This window comes from Homo sapiens, chromosome 8, assembly GCF_000001405.40.
Source record: "Homo sapiens chromosome 8, GRCh38.p14 Primary Assembly".
NCBI lineage: Eukaryota > Metazoa > Chordata > Mammalia > Primates > Hominidae > Homo > Homo sapiens.
The window spans coordinates 141592683-141616903 of NC_000008.11; the positions used below are offsets into that span (position 1 = coordinate 141592683).

The 24221-nt window shown below is 57.3% G+C and overlaps 2 annotated features.

Moving 5' to 3' along the window:
• Positions 5302-6192: an enhancer, noted in NCBI's record as "H3K4me1 hESC enhancer chr8:142608084-142608974 (GRCh37/hg19 assembly coordinates)". NCBI's record gives its function as "activates a minimal SCP1, AML or CMV promoter by ChIP-STARR-seq in primed H9 embryonic stem cells {active_cell/tissue: H9 hESC(primed)}" and the evidence as "EXISTENCE:reporter gene assay evidence [ECO:0000049][PMID:30033119]".
• Positions 20747-21296: an enhancer, noted in NCBI's record as "H3K4me1 hESC enhancer chr8:142623529-142624078 (GRCh37/hg19 assembly coordinates)". NCBI's record gives its function as "activates a minimal SCP1, AML or CMV promoter by ChIP-STARR-seq in naive H9 embryonic stem cells {active_cell/tissue: H9 hESC(naive)}" and the evidence as "EXISTENCE:reporter gene assay evidence [ECO:0000049][PMID:30033119]".

The following is a 24221-nucleotide window of genomic DNA, read 5'->3' on the forward strand; positions in this document are numbered from 1 at the left end:
TGTGTGTGGTGCTCCCTCAGCCTGGGTGTGTGTGTGTTGTTCCCTCGGCTTGGGTGTGTGTGTGGTGCTCCCTCAGCCTGGGTGTGTGTGTGTTGTTCCCTCGGCTTGGGTGTGTGTTGCTCCCTCAGCTTGGGTGTGTGTTGCTTGGTTCAGTTGAGTGTGTGTATCTGTTTTGGGCCCAGTCTTGAGCTCTGAGGCGTGTGTTTAAATTCCAGGGATCAAACTGCCCTCCTTCCTCTTTCCATCCCCGCCTTCCTTGGCTCTATTTTCTCCCCGGGAAGCGCTGAGATTGACTGTTGCCACTGATTCCTTGCAGAGATGGACTTTCCCCCCTTTTCGTACCAGCCTCTTTGGTTGAGAGCTGTGGGACTCACACGTTCCCTAAATCTCCTGCCCCTGGTGTCTTCTTGCCATTTCATAAATCTCAGCCTCATTCCCTCCGGCCTGGGAGGCCATGCCGCCTCCAAGGCGACCTCCTCTCGGGAGCTCCAGGTATGGAACACACCATTCATCATGGAGATGCGGGAGGCGTCACAATTTCTCCTGCCAGGGAGCGTGGTCAGGCCCACAGTGGCCACACATCCAAGATGGCGACACCCGCGGGTGGGCATAAGAGGGGGCATGGAGATCACAGCCACGCCTGGTCACGGGGACAGGTAGGTGGCGTGGCTCCCAGGTGTGGCTGAGGGCACCTGTGTCTGGTTCTCAAGGGGCCCCCATTGTGCAGGGAGACCCAAGCTGGTCCCCAGACGGCTCCCACACATGGAGGTACAGGCTGGGAAGGGGCACCCAGGGCCTTGGAGCACGCTGAGGGTGGCGCCCTGCCCTGTCCTAGGCATGTGGCAGGACCATGAAGGGGATTTGCACTGTGAGCTGGGAGAAGGCACTGCAGGCTGAGGGACCAGTGTCTGCACAGGCAAGGTGGTGGGACAGCGGGGCAGCGTGTGTCATCAGCAGAATCCCCAGAGCCATGAGTGACAAAGCAGGCATGTGGAGCTTACCTTCTGGTGCACATGTGCATACGTGTTTTCATGCACATGAGGGTGTGTGTGCATGTGTGCAGGGGTGTGTATGTGTGACAAAGCATATGAAACATTGTAATCAAGGCCTTCTAGAGCAAGCTGGACAAGAGGAGAAAGGAAAAGCTGAGAGGAATGAGGGGGATGTGGAACTGAGGGTGAAGAGGGGTCTGGGTAGCCTCCTTGAGCAGGGAGCTCTGAGCAGAAACGTGAAGGAGGTGTGGGAGAGCCCAGTTCCCACAGGGGGAACGGTGCTGCAGGGGCCCCAAGGCAGGGGCGGGCAGGGGTCCCAGGAGCAGAACGGAGCCCAGTGTAGCTGGAGCAGAGTGAGCCAGGGGACATGCACTGTGGTGTGGAATCCGGTTTTACTTTGAGTGGGTCAGGGGCCACACAGGGAGGGACAGGGTGTGACCTGGGCTTTAACAGGACCTATGGCTATGGTGGGGTCCGTGGCCGTGAGAACAGAAAAACTTGGCTGGGACCTGGGTGTGCCTTGAGGGAGAAGCCAACAGAATTTGCTGCCAGACCGGATGCTGGGGCTTGTGGTGTGTTGGACAAAGGTGACATGTCAGGGTGGCTGTGACAGGGAGCAGGGGTCCAGATCCTGTGGCTGGGTGATGAGGGTTTCTCCCACTCCATCACGTAATGACAGAGACCATGGATGCTTCCCACTTCCAAATAGGCTGCAACAATCTTTCCCATGCCACATGCTCTTTTGCCATGTGGCTTTGCCATTCCTCCCAGAGAGAGGTTGAGTCTGTGTCCCCATCCCCTGCACCCCAGTGGCCTTGTGATGAGGGCAGAGATGATGCTAGGTCACTTCTTGGGCTGGGTCACAGAAGGTGGTAAGCTTCTGCCTTGCTCTCAGAGGACATTTACACTTAGGACCCAGCTGCCATGTTGTAAGGAACCCAAGTCGCCCGTGGTGAGGCCCATGTGGAGAAAAGCCAAGGCCCAGGGCTCACAGCCCTGGTTGAGCTGCCAGCCACTTGAGTGAGCCACGTAAAAAGGAAGTCCTCCGGCACCACTCTAGCTGCTCTCATGGCACAGATGAGCCATCCTTGCAGGGCCCTGCCCATCTTGCAGATTCATGAGCACCTGGTTGTCTTCTGAAGTCACTAGATTCTGGGTAATTTGTTATACGAGGCGAGAGGTCAGCTGAGTGTCCGGAGAAGTCCCAGGTCTGAGGTTTCCCTTTAGTGTTCATCTGCTGTGCTAAGCTCCAGACTTCCCAGTCTGGGCCTCCCTCCTCAGTGTCCCTTTGTCCCCAGAAGTGCCCGGAGGCCATTTAGGAAATACTGGGGGAGTGTGGACAGGTTTCTGCGTGTGTAGCTTGGAGAAGTTCTGTGGAGGAAGACAGCCCTTGGGCCCCGGAGCTGTTAGCTTTTGCTGACCCTGTTTTCTCATCTCTAAGAGTGCTAACGGCCACCACAGCTGGCATTTTTGGAGCCTCCCCACCCTGCCGTGTACCCTCCTAAACCCTTGTCATGCACTCATGAGTGGTTCTTTCTAGTGCTAATGTTCCAGAGCCCAGATCTCACCCTGTCCGCATGGCCGCCCTGAGCAGTAAGCACTGCTTTGACACCATTTTACAGATGAGGACACTGAGGCCCCAGTGAGTCACAAGTGGCAGAGCCAGGGCATGGCCTCATGTTGTCTCACTGCGAGTCCTGCTCTTGGCCTCCACTCCCTAGAAGAGGCCCCTCAGGTCCTGCACAGTGCCCCCCATGCTGTGCCAGCACGGTGGGATCTACCCCTGGGGTTCCATCCTGTAGGCCTGTCTGCAGCGCACGGGGCCTTCAGGCTCCAGAGCAGAGGGGGCCATGGCCCTGAACCCTAGCACACGTGTCTCCCTGGTGTTCTGGCTCCGAGGCGCCTGGGGAACCTCAGAGAGGCAGATCCGAGCCTCCTGCACATCCCCGCATGGGAGCCAAAGACCAGAGACCTGGTTCTAATCTCGGCCCCTGCACATGCTCTTCCTGAAGCATTACTAACTTCCCTAAGCCTCAGTTTTCTCACCTGAGCAATGGCGCTAGAGGCTGAGAGCTGCTTGGTTGTGGGGAGCAGACTCAAGGTGACTAAGCACCCAGCCCAGCACCGGCCCAGAGCAGGCACAGGGCCGGGCCTTCAGGGGTTATCTGAAAGCGAGAGGCGCTCTCTCCCTCGGCACCCAGCTCCCTCAGCCGACTCTACATAGAATCATTCTTCCTCCGCTTCTCTGTGGTGACATTTAATCTATGCAGGGGCTGGCGGATGCTTTATTTCTGGAGCTGGCTTTGATTTGGGGAGGGTATTGTTAGCTATGTCCCTTGGGAGTAGATTTAGGAGCAAATATTACTGTTTCTTCTCAGAGGCATCTAGGAGCCTCTTGCAGACGCCTCCTTCCAGCAGTGAGATCCTAGACATTGTTTGTTTGGGTCCCTGCCAGAGTGGGGAGCCTGGCTCATTCTCTCTAAGTAGAAGGAAGCAGGGGGTCTAGAAAGCACCTAGCCTGGGGGCTTCCTGCCCTGCTCCACCCAGGCACGCTGGGTGATCTTAGGGATGCCCATCCCTCTCCCTGGCCTCAGTTTCCCCAGCTGTAGGTGTGTGAGGGCAAATGACAAGGTCCCTCCTGGCCCAGCTGCTTGGGTGGAGCTGACCCTCGGGGAGGAGGACAAAGAGCTACACTTCCCTGCAGCTGATCTGGGGGTGGTGTGATTTGCATATTATTTGCATGAATATGCAGGCAGATTTCATAAAGGCCTAAGCTCCAGGCATTTAAGAAAATTCCAACAAACAGATTCCGGCAGAATGCCTACCATTGTCCTGTCCCCAAAGGCAGCTTTTCTGAGGACCGTATTCCCGCATCCCCTCACGGGGTCCCTCATCTAAGACTCAGGAGGAGGCTGGGGAGGGGTGTTAGCGTCTCCTTCCTTGGTTGGGCTCCAGACAGGCCTCAGGACTTCCCAAGGCTTGTCCAGTGGGAGGAGGAGATTCCTGGACAAGGTCAGGGCGCCCTGGGGGAGCTCCCATTCTGGCAGACCTCCTTTGGCAGCCCAAGAGTTTAGCCCCGTGCCTCCCCTGAGAGAAAGAGAGATGGGCCCTTTAATTCGAGTCAAAGCTGCTCTCCTGATCTCCCCCTCCCTCCCTCCCTCCCTCTCTCTCTCTCTCCCCTGCTCTCCCTCCAGCTTGGGGAGGGCCCTCCTTCCATGGAGGATCTGAGCCTGGAGTCTGGATTCCCCTCACCCCACCCACCACCCTGCCTTGTCAATTTTTCCCCCTAAATAGCTCTCCCACTTCACATTGTGAAGCTGATCATAGCACACCCCCGCCCGGCAAAAAAAAAAAAAAAGCCCAAACCAAAAACCCAGACACGCAATGGCTTCTCTTCGCTCTTGGAATAAAGACAAAACCCTTTCATGTAGGTCCGCAAGGCTCCTTCCGGCTTCCGCCACCGCCACATCCCCAGTTCCAGCTGCGGCCTGTGTCCTCCCTTCCACATGCTCTGTTCCCCGCCGATGGCATGCAGTTCCCAGTCCCTCTCCCCTGCCCAGCTGGGTCAGGCCCCATCAGAGTTGCTCCCAGGGCCTGCTCCCTCCACAGAGGTTTGACGTTGGTTGGTGAGCAGCTGTGCCTGACCCCTGCAGGACCAATCGTGGCCGTGGGGTGGGAGCCAGGCCGGCCTTCTGCTCCCCTTTAGGGCCGGTGCGCAGTAGGCGCTCACTGAATGAATGCACGTGTGACTGTCTGCACCACTCTTGCTTTTGTGTCAGGCGCCCACGTAGACCGTGGGCTCCCTTAACCAGGGCTGGGTCTCTCCTCCCATGTTGGTCCGGGCGGGGCAGAGTGCATACTAGGGTGGGCCGGAGGGAGCCTCTCTGGGCTCTTCATACACCCCGACAGGAACCATGGGCATGGCAGTGGCTTCCTGTCTTCATCAGCATGGGGGCACAGGCTTTCAGAGGCATTTGTTCTAATGGCTGTATTTGGCTGTATGGTGTCCTGTTCCGATGCCGGCAACTCTGGCAGAAGATGCTGCTCCGAAGAGGGCCGAAAACACCCGGCATGGTGGCTGGGGCGGGGGGTGGGGGAAGGAGGAGGCCTTGTGGGGGTCTCCACCATCAATTCCCCCTTTTCTTTCTTAGCTCCTGCAATCCATCACCCCACACCTCTGAGTCCTGGCAGAGTGGGTGAGTGTGGTCTCCCAGCCCTGTTCCAGACTCCCATAACACAGTCCCCACCAGGCAGCCGGAGGGCTGGGTCCCGCTGCCCGTAGGACAGAGACGGCTCCTTGCTGGGCCAGTGATGCCCTATGTGCTCAGTGCCTACAGCCCTGCAGCCTCGACTCTCTCTGCCTCCTTCTTTAGAGACAGGTCGTGCTCTGTTGCCCAGGCTGGAATGCAGTGGTGCAATTGTAGCTCACTGCAGCCTTGACATCCTGGGCTCCCGAGTAGCTGGGACCATAGGCACAAGCCACCAAACCCAGATAATTAAAAAAAAAATTTTATAGAGACAGTGTCACCAGGTTGCCCAGGCTGGTCCCAAACTCCTGGCCTCAAGGGATCCTCCTGCCTCGGCCTCCCGAAGTGTTGGGATTACAGGCGTGAGCCACTGAGCCTGACCTCCTATTTCTTGACTGTGTTCGCCGTCTCCCGTGTGGGCCTCTACACAGGCTGTTCCTTCAGCCTGGGAGGCTCTTCCCTACCCATCTCCGCCTCCTAATTCAGGCCTGACCTGCCCTCACTTTCCTGGGGGTCTGCTTGCTTCTACTGGAGCTCGCTAGTTCCATTGACCTCAGCTCTTCAGCTGCAGGCTGCATGAGCCTGGGGCTCTCTGGCAGGCACTGCCTCAGAGGTTGCAGCTCCCACTCACTCAGTGGCTATTCCTGACTCAGAACTCGTACTTCTCACACCTTCCACGGCCTGAGGACTCTCCTCTGAGGCAGGAGCACTGCAGAGCCTCCTTCCTCCTCCCCCTTGGCCTCCGTCTCTTCCATCCCTACAGCAGGAGCTCTCACTGGCCCCACCAGGCGGGTGAAAGGCCAGTCTTAGAACACAGCACAGGTACGTTGCCACAGCCATGCCCTTGAACTGCGCCCCTCCAGGCTCCCTTGCCCTTAGGTCATGGTTGGGTTTGGCGTTGGGAGGCCCTGGCAGGAGATTGGGGGTGGGAGGAGAAAGAGGTCTGCGGTTTCTTTCCACGGCCATGCCAGCTCCAGCTGTGGTTGTGTGGCAGTGGCTTCCTCCACCTGACCCCTAGACCCTGCCGACCCTGCCCTCTGGCTCTGGCAGAGTCTCAATGCCTGCTCTCCCGCCCAGCCCCTGTGCCACAGGCGGGTCCCGACTCCTGCCACCGCCACTCTCTAGGTGACTCGGTGTCCCTTGCTGGGGTCCTTAGCCCTGCCCGTCCTCTGTGAGACTCCTCCCTTAGAGTCTCCTCAGTGACCCGTGACTGTGTCCTCTCGCTCCCGTCAGGACCCCAGCCCAGGTGCCCACCGCATTGCTGTGCCACCTGGGGCTTCCTCCCTCTCTGAGCCTGCAGCCTGGAGCTGGTTTTCTGGAAGCTTCCTCTGTCCCCCTTCTTGGGTGCTCTGTGATGTGTGATGCGGCCTGGCTGCCAGGGGTTGGGGGTCGCTCCCCCATGGTCAACTCTGGGCTGAGAAAGCTTTCCCCTGGGCAGAGGGGGTCGGTCTCAGGAAATGAGTGGCGCGGTCACACAGCTGAGGCCTGTAAGCTGCTGCTCCTGAAGCTGGGACGTGAGAAGAGGCAGGCTTGGGGCTGGGCTTGCTGAGCCTCGGGGGAGTCCGCTGGAATGATCACGCTGTCCCCTCCTCTGGATGTCCCATTTCTGGCTCTTTCTCCAGGTGAGCTCAGCCTTCAAGGTCGAACATGCAGACCTCCAGGAGGGCTGTTGGGGAGCAGAGTGTGGCCTGGCCTGGGAGAGCTCAGCTTGGGTTCCAGCCTTCTGCCTCCAGGATGTGCTGCTGTGCAGCCCTGGGAGGTCCTCTGACCATTTCTGAACCTTTTCTTTCTGCACCAGCTCACCGGGAGGTGCTCACAAGGAGAGCAGTCACTCATGGGGAGTAGTCAAGGTCAAAGGTAGGGCTTGGCTAGCCTTTTCTGGAAAGGCCCAGAGAGTAAATATTTCAGGCTTCATGGCTCACATGGTCTCTGTTGCAGCTGCTCGACTCTGCCATTGTAGTGCAAAAGCAGTCACAGTCAATACAGAAATGAGTATGCATGACTGTTTCAATAAAGCTTTATTTATAAAAACAGACAGCGGGCTGGATGGGATCGGCAGGCTATGGGATGCTGACTGGTCAACAGGAAAGAAAATCCCTTTGTGCGTGCTCAGATCCTGGAGAAATGAACATCATCATTAGAAAGTCTTGCCATGACCTTGTCAACAGCACCGATTTCTCTCTCATGAACAAACTCAGTCGTAGGGAGGCGGTCAGGGAGGGCTTCCTAGAGGAGGTGATGTCTGAGGCTACCTTGAAATAGGAGGTGACACCTAGAGGCTGGAGGGGGAAGGGGATCCCAGTTGAAGAACTTTACTCTGTTAAAGGAGGAGTGGTGGCAGAGGGGAAGGTGCTGCAATTTGTAAACTTGAGAGTGAACGGGCTGTCAAAGTCCCAAAACCATGATAAATGCCCCTGAGCTTCCAGCGTGGGCCCACGTGCTCCTGAGTGATGGTGATTTACGATGGCTGAGAGTTTTCTTAAGCAAGTGGTTTTCGGAGGAAAAAGAAAGGTCACAGCACGTCAGGCCTTACACATCTTATCTTGTTCTCCACCAGCCATAAATTCCCTTTGAATGCAGCAGAGCCCGACGAAGGTGTTGGCTGCCAGGGGATGGACATTAATATCAAATAAACAAAGGCAGCGATCGCATACCTGGCTGAGCAGGGAATGCCGTTATGTTATTATTCTGGGGGTTGGCTACAGGGGCGGGCCCATGAGGGTGGCTGCCAGTGGAGCCCAAGTGCGAGATGAGAAATCTCAAGCTGAGCTGGAGGAAGTGGCTGTGCTGGGGGCTCTGGGGCACAGGTGGGGAAAAGGCAGGTGAGGCTGGCTGGCCTGAGGAGGGAGGGCAGCCTGGCCTGGCATCTGCAGGTGGTGGAGACTTGGTCCTGGTCCTGGCTGCAGCCAGGCACCCTCTACACATGCAGGTGTGAGCAGGCCTGCTCTACTTCTTCTGGGCTGTGTGGTTCTGGACAGCTTGCGCACCCTCTCTGGGCCTCCTATTCCTTAACCATCTACCCCTCACTGCCACCGGAAGTTCACTGCTACAGAAGGGCAGAGATAGCACACCTGGACCTCAGGCCCCTGGCCCCGAGACACCTGCACCAGTGACCCCTGGCCCCGAGACCCCTGCACCAGTGACCCCTGGCCCCGAGACCCCTGCACCAGTGACCCCTGGCCCCGAGACACCTGCACCAGTGACCTCTGGCCCCGAGACACCTGCACCCGTGACCTCTGGCCCCGGGACACCTGCACCAGTGACCTCTGGCCCCGGGACACCTGCACCAGTGACCTCTGGCCCCGGGACAACTGCACCAGTGACCCCTGGCCTAAGGATACCTACACCAGTGACCTTTGGCCCTGTTGCTTGCCCTTTGCCCCTCCCTCCTGAGATGGAACCTGGAGCCTGGAGCCAGGGCCTGGATGTGGGTTGCACTGGGGGACTTGGTCTCTCTGTGCATGTTTCCTTGGCTATAATGTGGGGTTGTGATGGCACTGACCTGGTAGGCTGTATCATACGTGCCTGGAGCCCAGCACGCACATATGTGTTAGCTGTTTAGCTGTTGTTTTTGTCAAGCAATGTGTTTGTTTTCACTTAATGACGTGGTGAAGATGAAAAATTTAATTCTTCAGAGCAGATACTCATTGAGTGTCCTTCTGAAAAAAGCACTGCTGTTTGAATTATTCGGGTCTGTTTGGATACAAACACAGTCTTTCTCTGCCTTTCCCTACCCTCCTTCTGAGGTAGGAGGCAGGACTCAACTCCAGAGGCAGGACCACACTGAGGACTAGCTAAAACAGGGAGCGGGTGGAAGCTGCTTTCCCTGAGACATGCCCACCAGTGCACCTGTCAGTTTACCATTGCCATGGCAGTGCCTGGGAGTGACCGCCCCTTTCCATGGCGATGACCCAAGACCCAAAATTCCCACCCTTTTCCTAGACATTTCCGCAGAAACCGTCCTTTAATCTGCATGCAGTTAAAAGTGGGTATAACTGTGACTGCTGAACTGCCGTGGGCTGCTGCTCCCTGCCTTCGGGGAGCCTGCTCCGCAGGAGCCACCTCGGAGCTGTGACCTGAGCTGCTGCGTCAGGAAAACTCTTCCCTTCTACCTCTGGCTGGCCCTTGGGTTCTTTCCTGGGTGAAGCCAAGAACCCTTGCTGGCTAAGCCCCACTTTGGGGCTAACTTGCCTTGTGTTGCTTCCACCACCAACACAAAGAGAGCCTGTGCAGACAAACGCCCACTTATTACTTGCCGATTGTCTCTAAGATGTCATACGTAGTATGTGACTGTATGTACGTGTACAGATATTATATAATATTATCTACATATCTACACTTAGCTTCTTCATGCGGTATTTTGATACCCAGCTGATGCTGGCACTTATGCTGAAGGTAGGGAGGAGGGAGAGGAGGAGGAGGGAGGGAGGAGGGGAGAAAGAGGATGACAGAGCACAGGAGTGAGAGCGAGAGCGTGTGAGCTGAGGGAGGTGCTGGGGAACATAGTACCTTTCCTGTGTGTGTTACACTGGGGTTTAATCAGATTTTGCTTCCTCAACACCCAGGAGGAGCGAAGGGCAACTCCAGTGGTGTTAATGGTGGAGACGATTTGGGAACACAGGGCCCTGGTGTTGCCTTATAGATCTCCGTGCCTAGAGGGTCCTGTGACGGGCGTGGGGCAGCCAGAGGGCAGCTTGGGAGCTCCTGCCCTGCTGGGCTGGTCGGTGGACAGGCTGTGTGGGGAGGCCACCGTGGGCCCGCCTGAAGGAATTTCAGAGACAGTCTGGTTTGATTCGGCCACGTTGGACACACCCCCATTCGGAACGGTGGCTTACTGGAAGGCAGCTGTCTCCTCAGGGTGACCGTCAGCTCCTGAAAGAATCGGTCCATGGCATAGCTTCTCATGCCCAAAGTCTCAGCCTCAGCAGGCGGGTTTGGGGCCTTAGGGAACATGGGACAAACCCACAGCGAGATGAGCGAGAACCTAAGTTCTGCCGCTTCACACAAGGCGCAGCTGGGCCGTCAGAGTCTCGCAGCTCCCGGGTGTGAAATGGAGACCTTATCTCTGTCTTCTCACCCCCTCTAACCCCCCAACCCCCGGGGGAAAACGATCGATCCCTCTCTTGGTCCGGTTGTGCCTTCAGTTCCCCCATCCTCACCATTTTCAGTGAATAAAACCCCGAGCCTTCAAGGCTACGGTGTCCCTAGGGGCCCCCAGCCCTGGCATAATGCCTGGCACATTGCAGGCTCTCGTACGAGCTCCCTGGAGAAGGAGAAGAGGCGTGAGAGATGACGGGGAGGGGGCCTTGGCCTCCTCTGGAGGCTGTAGGAATGTGGGTGGTTTCCCCCACCAAGCCCAGCACACAGGAGGCCCCCAATAAACGTGTGTCAGCGTGAGCTGGTGATGCGGCCAGACGGTACCGATCTCTTCTAATGGAGAGGGTGGGGGTTTCCCCACGTCGGGCAGCTAGGGGTGAGCAGAATCTCCGGGTTCTGAATGCACTTCCCCACAGGCTGGGGGCTGGGTCGGCCCTCCCAGATCCAGGGCCTCCACAGCTGTCTTTCCTCTTCGGCGGGTCTGAGGCGCGTTCTTCAGGGAAGTTGGGCGTGGCGGTCTCTGTGAAAGTCCCGCTCAGGCCAGGAGGAACCAGCTGCTATCAATATCTGGCTTTGGGTTTTTGGAGAGGTAGCAGGTATCAGGGAAAGAGAGGGACTCTGTGGCCACCCAGGCATGGATTCAAGTCTTAGTTCTCTCCCTTCACAGCTGGGTGTCCTTGGGCAAGTATGCTGGCCTCTCTGAGCCTCAGTTTTCTTCTTCCCAGAAAGAAGCTCACACAGCCTGCTGGGACGGTTAGAAGAGACGGCCCAAATCGCCCTCTGCCTCTCCTGCAGTTAAGGATGCTTGTCCTTGGATTTAGGGCCCACTTGGATAATCCACAACGATTTCCTTATTTCAAGATCCTGAAATTAATGACATCTTCAAAGGCCCCTTTTCAAAATAAGGTTTTTCACAGGCTCCAGGGGTTAGGGTTTTGCCATATCTTTTTTTAGGGCCACGCTTCAGCCTTCCCGCGGGAGCCCGATCTGCATCAGACCATCTTTTCCTGTTCATGGGGATGAGCCGGGCAGAGGCTCAAGGGGCCTGGCTCCCTCAAAGCTGGGCAGAGACCCCAGGACAGGTCGAGGTCTGGAAGGAGCAGCCTCTGCTGGGCCCCAAGAGGGACAGGATGAGCCCAGGTGAGGCTCAGAGAGAGAGAGTGTGGGCTGGGTCTCGATGAGCGAGGTTAGACATGGCTGGAGAAGAGAAAACCCAGTGTCCATATCCCTGCCTGGTGTGACCACAGTGCGACCCTTAATCTCAAAGCCACAGCAGCCCCGTTAAAAAAGGGTGCCCCTCCCGTAAGTCTGCAGTGAGGGTTGGTATCGATCGCACGCTGCATGCTGTGTTATCTTTTTAATTTTATCCTTTCTTACATTGCTGGATCCCCATCTCATTCCCAAGAAGCTGAAGGCATGCGGCAATGCGCGGAGCTCAAAGACCACAGCTGTCATTCATACCAGGGCCTCTACTTTGCCCTCCAGAAGGTTCCCCCCTTCCCCGAGAGCCACTGGCCTCTCCTGTCCAAGGCCCTCAGGAGCCATGCAGACAGGGACCCCGACCTCGCTGCCCTGTGCATGGGTGTGTGGGGGTGCCCCCTGCTTGGGGAGGGCTCATGGTGTCCTGTCTGGGTGACAATCTTGTGGGGCCCTAGGGCAGGCCCCGGCTGTCCTTCCTGTGGAGGGCATGGTAATTCCTGAGTGGCCTCCATCTGCATGGGAGGCAGGAATGAGCCCAGAGGCCAGGGTGGGTGTTGCTTGGGCCTTGCTGGCCCAGCCTGACCATGGCCAGTGCCCCTATGGCAGATGGCTTCGTGGCAGGGCCGAGTTGGCAGTGCTGTGCACAGGCAGGTGGGCAGGGGGACCTCACACCTACCCAGAAAGGCCGCCAGAGGGTCTGGAGTGAGGAGGGGGCAGAAGCACCAGGCCCTTGGCTGTGTGTTCCGTGGGGCACCTGAGTGATGTGGTGAAGAGCTCTGGGCAGCCAGGTGGCAGGTGAGCCCAGGCCGGTGTCCTGAGGCTTGAGGGAGTGAGTGGGGACCTGTGGGCAGCCAGTCCTGAGCCCAAAGTTTCCACAGGCTGGATCCAGGGCTGCCCTGTCCCCTGCACTTGGGGCACCCTGGATGCCTGGCGGTTGAACAGTGTGGGTTTGAAGGATACCGATGCCGGCCCTGCCCTCTGGAATTATATCCTAATGGGGTTAGACAGAGAAGTAAATAGGGGCAGCAAGCCCGAGTCAGGGGGCCAGAAGGGCCTGGAGAAAGCCAGAGCCCGGAGGCGCAGGGAGGCTGGGGCAGTTTCTAGGAGGTGGGCAGGGGAGGCCTCCCTCACTTGGGACCTTTGAGCAGGTGGGGTGAGGGTTGCCTTGGAGGGGAGCAGAAGGGGTGTGACCGGGGCGCCTCGGGGCTGGGGAGCAGGCTGGCAGACTTGTGCATGTTCAGATCCTTCTCCACCCTTAGCTCACCCCCGCAGGTGGGCAGCCGTGTCCCTAAGCCATGGAGTCATCCCCTGTAAAGTGGGTCCGCGGAGGCCTGGCTTACCTGGAGCTGATCGCAGCAGTGAGGCTTCTCTCAGCAAACAGGGCTTTTCATCGTCCCCTTGTTATGATCATTGTAATGCCAGTCACCTCCCCCGCCACTGCCTCAAGGTGGGCAGGCGTCTGAGATGGCAGCTTCTGAACACCGGGCTTCCAGGATCCACATCCGGGCTCCTCTCCACCCTCTTTCCTGGCAGCAGTGGAGGCTGGAGGCTCATGTGGGTTCCTGCCTGGCTGAGCGCCGGCTCCTGCCCCGTCCCTCCCGCCCCACCCTCCTCTTCCCTACCTGCCTCTGCAGGGTGATAGGGTTGGGGATGGAGTGGGCAGAGGCAACTGCACAACTGATAGTTTTCTGGATGCTTCTTAATTTCAATGTTTGTCCACTTCCTGCTGGGAGGCTGTGGGCATCAGGGCAGGTGGTGACCTCAGCAAAAGCCTCGGAAGCTTCTGGAAGGGCACCTAGGATTGTGTGTGCTTCCACATGGGAGCGGATGCTTGTCTTGAAGAGGGTCAAGTGGGCCTGGGCCCCTAATGTCCAAGTGCAGGTGAGCTGCAGATTCTAGGGGCTTCTAGGCAGGGGCCGGGTTCCTCTGCCTCCCGGCCCTGCAGGACGATGGGGGTCCGTGGGGAGCTGAGGCACAGAAAGGCTGGCAGAGCTACTGGGGTGTGCCTGGTGCCCACCCTGGTCTCCAGCCTCCCAGCAGACAACTGGATCTGAGAAAAAGGAGGGTCCCATGAGCTGGTTTGGCCCAACCTCCATTTATGCTAGGGAGGCATTTTGGCCCAATGAGACTTTAGCTCAGAGAGGGGAGAGGCAATTGCCTAAGTCCCCCCAGACAGGTGGCAGCAGGGCCAGGCCATGGGCTGGGGTCTCATCCTCCAGGGCTCTGCTCTTTCCTGGAGTCACCCCTGGAGTCCACAGGGCAGGGTTCCTTCCTTTCCTGAGGGTGTCCAGGCTTCACGTCTGCCCTCATTGCCAGGTAGGTGCAGGGACACCTTTGTGAAGCTCCTGGGCCTTTAGGGAAGACAGAGGAGAAAAGAGAAGGTTGATAAGGTGTAGGGACTGTCAGCCCAAGAGAGGGAGCAAGGAGGAGGGTAGGCATTCATCCTGCATTCATCCTGACGAACGGGGGGAGCTGGGATGTTGGGGCACTCAGGGCCACTCCTGGGGCCCCCCTGACCAACCCCCTGTCTCTCCCCTCCATTTCCCACCTGCCCTGGCCTCCTGAGACTGCAGCTTCAGAGGCACTGGAGCCTTGTGAGGTTTATTCTATCTGCGGTTTAGTTGTTGCCCAGTTAGGGGTAAGTGAGGATTTTGCTGACTTCCGTAAGCTGGGCATGTCTTCCTGGTGGACTTGGAGACCATTGTGCAACCACCTCAGAGGGCCTGGAGCTGTGAGCCGTGGCACTGAGTGCTGAGACCCCGTTCCTGCAGGGGCTCGGGCAGCAGCTGCCAGGTCCTGCCTGGCTTTGGTTTGCCCACCCTGATTGTGTAGTCTGGGACAAGACAGCAGGTGCCGCGTCGCCATAAAAATATCTAAACAGACCAACTGCAGATCCCAGAATTAAGTTTAAAACTGCAGCTATTGATGTTTTCGAAAAATAGCGTGTGCTAAGAGGCAGGAAGATATTTTGCCCAGTAGGCTCCTTTTCCGTTTTTTTTGGGTGTATTTTATTGATTTCTGCCCTGAAATAGTGCTTTTGACATTTTAAAATAGAATCCTAGGCGAAGGTATCCTAGGCTCGGGATTTAAGTGAAAATGGACATGGCTTTTCATAAATGCAACTTTAAGACAAAGCACTCAGGTGCTGGCTTCCTGGGCTGGCTCAGACGTCTTCTACGCCCTCCTCTCTGCAACCCCCTCCTCCATCCAGGCTTTTGGACTAAAAAAAAGCCACTGGGATGACTGCTCATTGCTGCTTTATCATTCTGCTATGGATTATTTTCTCTTCTCCACTGCTAGATGGGGCAGGAGAGAGCGGTGCTGCAGGTCAAACACGGAGTTGCCTGTGTAAGCCTAGGGCTAGGCTGCCGCCCTCAGCCTCAGGGTCCTGGGCCCGAGGCCATCCAGGCCCAGCATCTGGTGCTGGCTTCTTCCTCCTTCCTCCTTCTCACTGGGCAGCCCCTGCTTCAGGCCAGGAGGGCCCTGGGACTGTAGGAAAACTTGACGAAGTCCCCAGTCTTTGGAAAGACAACCTAGAAAAGGGCAATTCTGATACAGAATGCAGGTCCTGTCCTTGGGCCACAGGCCAGTGGCTGGGCTCTCTGAGGCTGGGCTTCCTTTCCACGAGTCCCAAACACCCCCTGTCCTGCCGGCAGTATGGGCTGCTGCAAGGGGCAAGGAGTGGTGGGAATAAGACAGAGGCCCTGGTGGAGTCTCGCCCGCAGCTCCTGCCTCAGCTGCACTCCTCCCTGGCCTGTGGTAGTGGCCGGGCACTAACGGCTGAATGTTTCTGTCCCTCCAGTCTTCATGAGGAAATCCTAACCCCCAGGGTGATGGGATGGGCAGGTGGGGCCTTCGGGAGGCAAGGAGGTCCTGAGGGTGGAGTCTCATGATGGATCAGCGCCCTTAAACAATGAGAGTCCAGAGAGATGCCTTACCCCATCCACCATGTGAGGCCACAGCAAAAAGACAGCCATCTATGGACCAGGAGGCAGCCCTCTCCAGATGCCAAATCTGCTAGTGCCTCGATCTTAGACTTCCAGCTCCAGAACTGTGCGAAATCAATTTCTCTTGTTGATAAGCTTGCTTCCCTTCCCACTGTTGTCCAGGCTCCATATCTGTCCCCATTGCCAGGCAGGCCACCAGGCTTTGACATTCTGTTATGGCAGCTTCTATGGGCTCAGACACCAGGCCTTCAAGGGGTCCAGCCTGCAGGTGGTGCGGCCCAGGTGCGCGTCGTAGGAGAGGAGGCACTTCATTGCTGTCAGCTGCTTGGCTATTCCATGGCTGTTCCATGTCCCTAGAGACACCCGTGGGGCTCAGTCCCAGCCTCCTGTTGGTGCAAAGTGGCTTCCACATGCCCAAGGGCTGGTTTTCAGTCATTGGAGGCACTGCTGGCCCCCAGGGTCATGAGCCATGCCTGAGGATGAGCTCCCAGGTTGGCTGGATTAGAGGGGCTGAGGGGAATTTGTCCCTGGGCATCTGGGGACACCAGGGCTGCACCCCACGTCTAGTGACTGCAGGAACAGGTACTGCAGGGCAGGGACAGCTAGGTGGCCAAGGCTGTGGGAGCTGCATGAGGAGCAGGGACCAGTGCTGGTGTCCTCTGATCCACCGGCATTGCCGGGGCTCACGCTGCGGGGGTCGGGGAGTGATGGTAACAACGGCCGAGGGCTCCTGAGCACATCCTCTGAGCAGGTGGGATGTTAGGATTTTTCCTGCATTTCCCCATCTGACCCTTCTAGAAATTCTGCTGGCAGGTACTTCTCCATTGTCCAGGTGAAGACAGGTGAAGCAGAGAGAGTGATCTGCATCTCTGAGGTTCAGCAGCTCCAAAGTGGCAGAACTGTGAGCTGAAGCCCGAGAACCTAGTGCCAGGCATCTCCGGGCGGCTTCCATGGACCGCCGCCTGCAGGGATCAGTGGCAGGGGGTGGGGGCTGGGGGCAAGCCGGGCTGTGCTGGGGGGTTGGGGGGAGGTGGTGGTGGAGTTAGTAGAGTCTGGGGGCTCCAGCTTCCTTCCCAAGGTGGGGCTGCCCCGGAGGAGGCCGTACAGACCGGCCACAGTGTGGGGCCCGTTAGTCACCACAGCTTTGCTTAGGCACCTGCAGAATCCGATGCCTGGGGTGGGTGACGGCCGGGGGCCCTGCCCTGCCGCCTCCACCAGCAGGCCCGTTTATCCAGCTCTCTTGCGCTGGTAGGGTAATTAGCTCCAGCAGCTGGGACTACATTTTCTGAGCAGATGCCAGCAAGAAGTTAGTTGTTCCGGAGTAGTAAATTATGTCATCTCTTTTGTTTTTATTTAAAATGTCCCTGCCTTCCCCTACCAGCTCCTTTTCTTCTAGCCGAGGGCCAGGGGAAGGTGGTTTCAAGACATGCTGTAATGACCGGGATCCCTGGTGGCTCCCGATGGGCAGCCATGAGTCTCCAGGTTGCCAGTGGCTCTGAGTCCAGCGTGAGGGGGCTGGAGGCCACGTCAGGCTCCGAGAGGGGGTCTAAGCCGGAACCACACCATCCTGCAAGGAGCAACAAAGATGCTGAGCGGCACGCCAGCCAGGCTCTGCACAGCTTTGCCAGGCTTCAGAGCTAGGATTCATCTATCTTTAATTCACTCAATAACTCACAAATGATTAGCTTGTGACAATTATACTTTTCAAACATGAAAGAGTGTTGTGATGCTGCTGAAGGTCACGGTGTGAACAGACCCACCGGCGGGTCCTGGACATCTGGCCCCACCCCTCTCAGCCCAGAACGCCGGCAGTGCCCGCCTCCTCCCTCTGCTCCTGCCCTGGGCGAGGCTCTGCTCTTGCAGAAGAGAAGAGATGGCCCCAGTGAGCACAGGGACCCGGGTTGAGATATGGTGAGACTGCCCCGGTGCCCTGCAGGACCTGTCCCTAGGGCCTGCCTTTCTCTCCCCAGATATCATTCATTTGATGCCTCAACACAGTGCCAAGTCACGCCACTGTTCCCCAGACATATATTAAACAGTGTCTCCAAAACTGGCCCTGCCATCTCCTGGCCATGTGGCCTTGGCAAGCCCCTTCACCACTCTGATCTTTTGTTTCTTCTTCCACAGGTTGAACCTACGCAGCTGACGTCATGGTTGGCACGCAGCTTAGTCTTGTATCTGGCTCCGTGGGGCACGTGGTGCCCTGTGCACACATGCCCACCTCGCCCTGTTGGCCCCTCTGGGCACAACTGACTTTGGGATAGGGACCAGAGCCTGAACTGTCCTGGGGGCCCAATGTCATTGGTGATCCCCTAGTTGGAGAATGCTCTCTGGCAGGGAGCAGGAGAGGAAGAGAGACTGAAGCTGGAGGAGGATGCAGTGCATGTGGCTGACTGGCAGGTGGAGGGGTCACCCAAGGAGGAATGGGGGCCCTAGGGCAGAGAGCAGCCTCCGTGGACGCCAGCAAGGAAACAGGGGTGTCAGGCCTGTAACCTCAAGGACCCGGATTCTGCCAGTGCCCGAGTGAGCCTGGGCAAAGATTCCTCCCGGAGCCTCCAGGTTGGAGTCCAGCCCCACCACACCTTGATTTTGGCCCATGGGACCCTGAGCAGAGCCCAGCTGAACTCATATGGCAAGAAAGACCGGAGCTAAAAAGGATGTTGTTTTAAGACACTAAGTATAGGGCGATCTGCTACACAGCAATAGAAAACCACGGCAAAACCCACATGGGTGAAGACACTGGGTTTGGGTTTGGACGTGCTGAGCTTGGGACGCTTTAGGACTTCCAGGTGGAGGAGTCCAGAAGGCATTGTTTGCCCATCCATGGTGCCCTGAAGAGACCAAGAGGCTCACATCAGAGGGTGGTCTCAGAGAGGCCGAGCGTGTGACAGCAGAAAAATCGCTTGCCGTCTACACCCACCCTCCCTCTCTGCACGAGGACGTGGCACCAGAAAATTGGCAGTCTTTTCCTAGCCTAAAGCACCGCAGTGAGCACCAACCAGTGGTTGCCATCACCGGCCTCACTCCGAGTCCAGCTCCTGTGGCAGGATAGCCGAGCTCTGCAGAGGGTCCCGGGCTGGGGCCTGGGGCTGCGTCCGCCAGGCGCTTCCCTGTCTCCTTATGCTCCAGGGGCCGTTGGCTCTGGGGCATGCAGGGGTCCCAGTGGTGCCTGTCTCTCATCCTGCATCCCTATCACGCTGGCGCACACTAGGGCCCCTCGTACTGCTGATGTCACATGCTGACTGCTTGCCGCCTTCCGAGAGCCCGTCCTCTTCATCCAGGGGCCCCAGCAAGTGATGCCATTTTAACACAAACTTCAAGAGCAAAGTTTGTGAATCGGTTGCTTTGAGCCCAGGAGCTGTGTCTTGCCTGTGCCTGGCCTGCTTCCTAAATTCCAGGGATGCCTCCTGACCTCCAAGCCCACTCCTCAGCCCCCATCGTCTCTACTTCCTTTTCAGGTTGCATTCAACTCAGCCGTAAAACAGATCAGGGCTGCCGGATCCCCGCTGCTCAGAACATGAGATTTTCTCCTGGCAGTGGGAGGCCTGACATCTTATTAAAAACAGAGCAAATGGCATCAGTGGAAAGGTAACTCAGGGCTCTGAGTGATTTGTACTTCTGGGTAAGGACTTTAGCCTTCCCGGTGGGTGGCCCCTCAGCCCAGCAGGAAGAGAGGTGGGCTCCACTGTCACAGGGTAGGCGTCCCACTGGTGTGGAGGTGTCGTGGAAGGCTGAGCAGGGAGTGGCACTGTGAGCCACATCTGGGGGGCTCACCCTGCTGGAGGGCAGCAAGGAGAGACTGGGGAGGCCTGTGAGAACTGCTGGGTGCCATCCCCAATGCCCCATCCCTGCTGTCCCCAGCTGGAGCCCTCCAGCCTGCACTTGCTCAGCGCTGGCCTGGCTACGAGAGCTGTGGCTCACCCTGAGGGTCCCACATCCGCCTTGGTGCTGCCCCAGGCTCCACGGGCATCTGGCCACCTTCAAGTGCTGCCTGGGGCCATGGCATCGCTGCTACCCTCCCAGCCTCGGATCAGCCCCTCGTGGGCATCTCTACTCTGTAGCCAACCTGTGGCCCTGTCTGGGCTGGAGATGCCCAGCCTCACTCATCACCCTAGCAGGGGCCAGGAGAGAGCCGGAGGGCTGCAGCTTTTGGATGCCCTGGGGCACTTGTCAGGGAGGATGGAGAGAGGCTGAGGGGACAGAGCTGGTGCCTGGGGTGCGGAAGCCTGGCCCCTGATGTGCTGTCCTCACTCCCTCCCCTCTGAGCTCCTCCTGGTGCACATTGGCAGGGAACAGTCAGCAAGGAGAGGTCAGGCATCACTATGGTGAGCAACGCTGGTGCCCACACCCGGGGCCACGGGCTAACTGGGGAACTGAGGGGCGGGCTGTGCCCAGGGTTCAGGACAGCCTCCCTGCTCCTGGCCAGCTCTCAGCTTCACAGCTAGCTGGGTTCTGGCGTCTGACTCTTTATCTGCTCAACCCAACAGGTAGTAACTGAGTACCTGCTGTGTGCCTGGGGATGTCTTCTGAGCTGGGACTGGAAAGAGGAGCGGAAGGAGAGGCTGAGCTGTGAGTAAGATGTCTCCAGCCAAGCACGAGGCAGCCCAGCCTACTCAGCAGGGAGCAGAACACAGTGGCCCAACCTTTTTGGCACCAGGGACCAGTTTCATGGAAGATAATTTTTCCACGGACGGGGTAGGGGACGGTTTCAGCATGACACTGTTTCATCTTAGATCATCAGGCATTAGATTTTCATAAGGAGCGAGCAACCTAGATCCCTTGCACACGCAGTTCACAACAGCGTTCAAGCTCCAGTGAGGATCTAATGCCACTGACCTGACAGGAGGTGGAGCTCAGGCAGTAATGCTCACTTGTCCACTGCTCACTGCCTGCTGTGTGGCCTGGTTCCTAACAGGCCACTGGCAGCTCCATGCCTGTGGCCTTGGGGCTGGGGACCCCTGGGAGAAGGGACAGCTCACCCCATGGGCAGGGCTTTGGAGAGCATGGCAGTCCTGGGAGTGGCCTGGAATTAGCCACAATCACCCTAGTGCGCCTTCTAGAGTTGGCAGGTAAAATGAGGGATGCTTGGTCACGTTAGAATTTCAGATAATTAATGAATATTTTTTCAGCATAAGTATATCTCATCCAGTATTTGAGACATACTTACACTAAATAATTCGTTGTTTATCTGAAATTCAAAAATCTAAATTCCTGTAATTTTAGTTGATGAATCTGGCAAGCCTAGATCTTGCCTGTGGGGGGAAACTCGGAAGAGGGCCTTTCCCTCCCCTGACCCACAGGCCATGGGGAGAGTGGGCTGGGAGGAGAAGGTGGAGACCCATGGAGTTTGGTGGCCACGCTGGGACCACCACCCATTTGGTGGCTCAGCTGGGACCCGTGGGGTTTGGTGGCCACACTGAACGAGTGTTGTCTTCACAACATCTGTAGTTCCTTGGCCAGGGCTGGGGGGCCTGGGCCCCCATACTACATGCGTATTCCCCACAGAAAAAGTCATCATAAGACCCCAGATCTCTGCAGCTGAACAAATGAATGCATTTTCCATTTGATTTGGCTGAGTCACTCCTCCGTGTTCTTCTAGGAATCGAATAGCTCTAAGTGTGTTTGGTCACTGGTTTTGGCCACTTGACCTAGCCAAATGTTGCTTCCTGTCTGGAACAGAGCCTTGCTGTCTTGACAGCACAGGCCTGAGTGACCTCAGCTCCCTCATCTGTCCCCGTCTGTGTCTCGGTTGCCTCGAGTGCTCCCTGCTTCCAGATGGAAGGAAGGCGCCTGCTGGTTCCAGTGGTGGAGGCGTGGTGTGCACAGTCGAAGCGGACGGATGTGTCCCCCATGAGCTGTGTGATCATGGGCTAGTGGCTGCCCCTCTCTGGGCCTCCTTTCCATCTGCAGGTCATGGGAACTCTTCCTCTTATAAGCACCGTGGTGATGGAGCAGTCCCCAGCCACATGCTGCAGGACCTGAGACGGGTTGAAGTTGGCTTTGTTGAGCCAGAAATCTCAGGCCTTCTTCCTTGGAGCAGGGGGAGGGAGGTGTTACATTTTAATCAAACCAGTTTGGGGCCCCAAAGTCTGATCAAGAACTAAACAGCTGTTTTAGTGGCAGCAGGTTGAGAGGCCGAGATGACTCAACATCAGAGAGGCCAGGGAGGAGCGACAGGAAAGGCCTCCTGCTCCCCTCCACCCCCAGCCCAGGGGCTGTATTCATCATGGGAGCTGCTCTCCTCCCCCTCCCCGGGGCCCAGGGTGACCTGTGACCTCTCCGCTGTGACCATGGTACAGCCAGAGTGGACAAGGACAGAGGAGAGGGGGATCCAGCCTTTTCTGGGAAGCAGCCGGTGTCGGAGTCAGGAGCAGGGGATCATCAGAGAGAAGCCGTGAAGTGGGGCAGGCTTGGCTCAGCTTCAAGTGTGCCTGGAGAGGAGACCCTGCTCCTGACCACATTGGCTTCCAGGCCCTGGGGTCGGACAGGCCTGCGAGGCTCATGGAATGGGTCTGAGGACCTCCACAGGCTCCAGGGAGGGCAGAGAATTGGGAGGACATTGTAAGAGGACCTCCAGGTTTTCAAAAGTGGTTGTCATGGTTTCCAACAATCTTGAGGGGGGGTAAAGAGATTCCTCATTATTTTGTAGTCAATCCTGTATACTAACAATGAATGACTCTATAAAACTGCAATGCTTGCTGTTCCGCCGTGGATCAAATAGTTCCTGATGAATTCATTTCTTCTGTTATAATGCCCTGACTTGTAAGAAACTCTTCAGGTGGCTAGAAACAAACATTGGGAATGCACGCCTCTGCGATATCCCAACTCCAGCTGAGATCCTGGGCAGGTGAGGTGGGGGCACCTCCCGCAGAATCAGGCGTGGTCCAGCCTGGGGGTGCCGCTCGGTCCAGAGGTGCTTTGGGGAGATGCCCTTCTCCTCCAAGGGCAGGGCTGTGGTTTGTTTGTAAGAGCTGGGCTGTAACAGAGCCCAGCTCTCTGTGTCCCCAACACCCACGGGGTCTCCCGTCCTCCTGTCCCCCAAGGAAAGGCTGGTTATAGACAGGCTTTATTCCTGCTGCCCCGCTGGCCTCGCAGCCCTGCTCTGTGAACGCTCAGGCAGAAAGCGTCACACACTGTTTGCTGGGCACTCGGCACATCCCCTGAGATGCCCAGATCGCTTAGCATCCACTGTGTCCCTGGTTTCTGGACTCTCATTTAATTGGATGAAGAGGTATTGACCAGGCAACGGGCAGGGGGCTGGTGGGAGCCATCAGGTATGGCCCCTTGGGAATGGCTGCTCGAAGGATTCCTGACAGCTTCAGTTGGAGGTGTGTCCCCCTGACTCACTGCCCGGCTCCCACAGTGGGTGTGGCCCCCTCCTGGGGAGCAGTGGTCTTCAAGTGGCTTGCGTGGTCATGGGGGTGTGCAGGATCGCCCATCAGAGAGCAGGGAGCGGGTGAGAGCTTCTGTGTAGGGTGGTTTTTCTGTGCACTGTGGAACTGCGGTGGTAGCATTGAGGCAGGGAGTGCCCTGGCCCTCGCTCCTGCCTGATGTCGGAGGGGCGTGCACTGTGGACCCTAGGGCACCCCTGAGTGGGGTCCACAGTGCGGAGGAATGGACAGCACCCACTCTCTCCTTCCCTTCCAGTGTACTGCGCCTTTTGCAGTTTATGAGTGCCCAGTGCTGTGGATTTATTCGCCAACTTCTCCAGCCATATTTCACATCAACCTCACAGAATGGACAGGCGCCCTGGAATGTGTCCCTGGAGGTCACCAGGGCTGCTTAGAGGAACTTTAAGTGCCTCCCCTCCCAGGCACGTGGCTTCCAGGCTCCCTCTCCCCTCCCCCGTCCATGGCAGCATTGGAGATGGGGCTGCTCTTTCCACTGGGTTCCTGGATGACCACAGGGAGGAGAGACTGCACTAGGCTCCTGCAGCCCTTGGTGGGCACACAGTGTGCGTGAGAAACTAAGCTTTGTTGTTGAAACTCCTGAGGCTTGGGGGTGCTGTTTGTTCCTGCCATGTAAACCAGCCTGCCTGACTACTGCACCTCCAGAGACTGTGGCTGAAGAGGGTCAAGCGCCCCACAAGCCCGGGAGCAGTGGTGTGACGCTTCTCTCAATCCCGACACCAGAGCTCTGCCAGCAGATGCCATCCAAAACATCACAACTGACCAGCTCCCAGAAAAAATGGGCAAAGTGATTCCAAATAATTAAAAAATCATTTGAGATATGAACTACATGCACTGTCAGTAACAGCTGATCTTTTCCTCAGCATGCATGTGCCTTTGGTTAGAAGCTAACGCTGGCACGACGTTATACGACCTGTACGCAAATACATATGCACAGGCCGGGAGTGCACTTACATGTTTGGGGGAGCACAAGGAAAATGCTTGGAGAGCGAGGCTGCGGCAGCTCAGGTGCTCTGGGAATGAGATGAGAGCCTCCCGTTAGCCTGTAGAAGAGGCACCCGAGGTCTGAGAACCAGGGACCTGCAGGGGGTGGGGTGTGTTTGGCCCCTGCTGTTTCGGCATTTCCTAGGCGTCACGAACCCCGGGCTCTTGGTTTCCTGTGTTGCTTGGAAACATCTCATTGTTCCACCTCAGGCTGCTGTGAGGTGGTTGTGCCCTGTGTCCCGTGCTCCATGTTCAGGAATAAAATGCTCTCTGCCACGTGGACCCGCCGGCTATGCTCCTTGCCCTCCCTCTTCCCCATCAAAGGAATTCCTTGCCCCCTGCTCT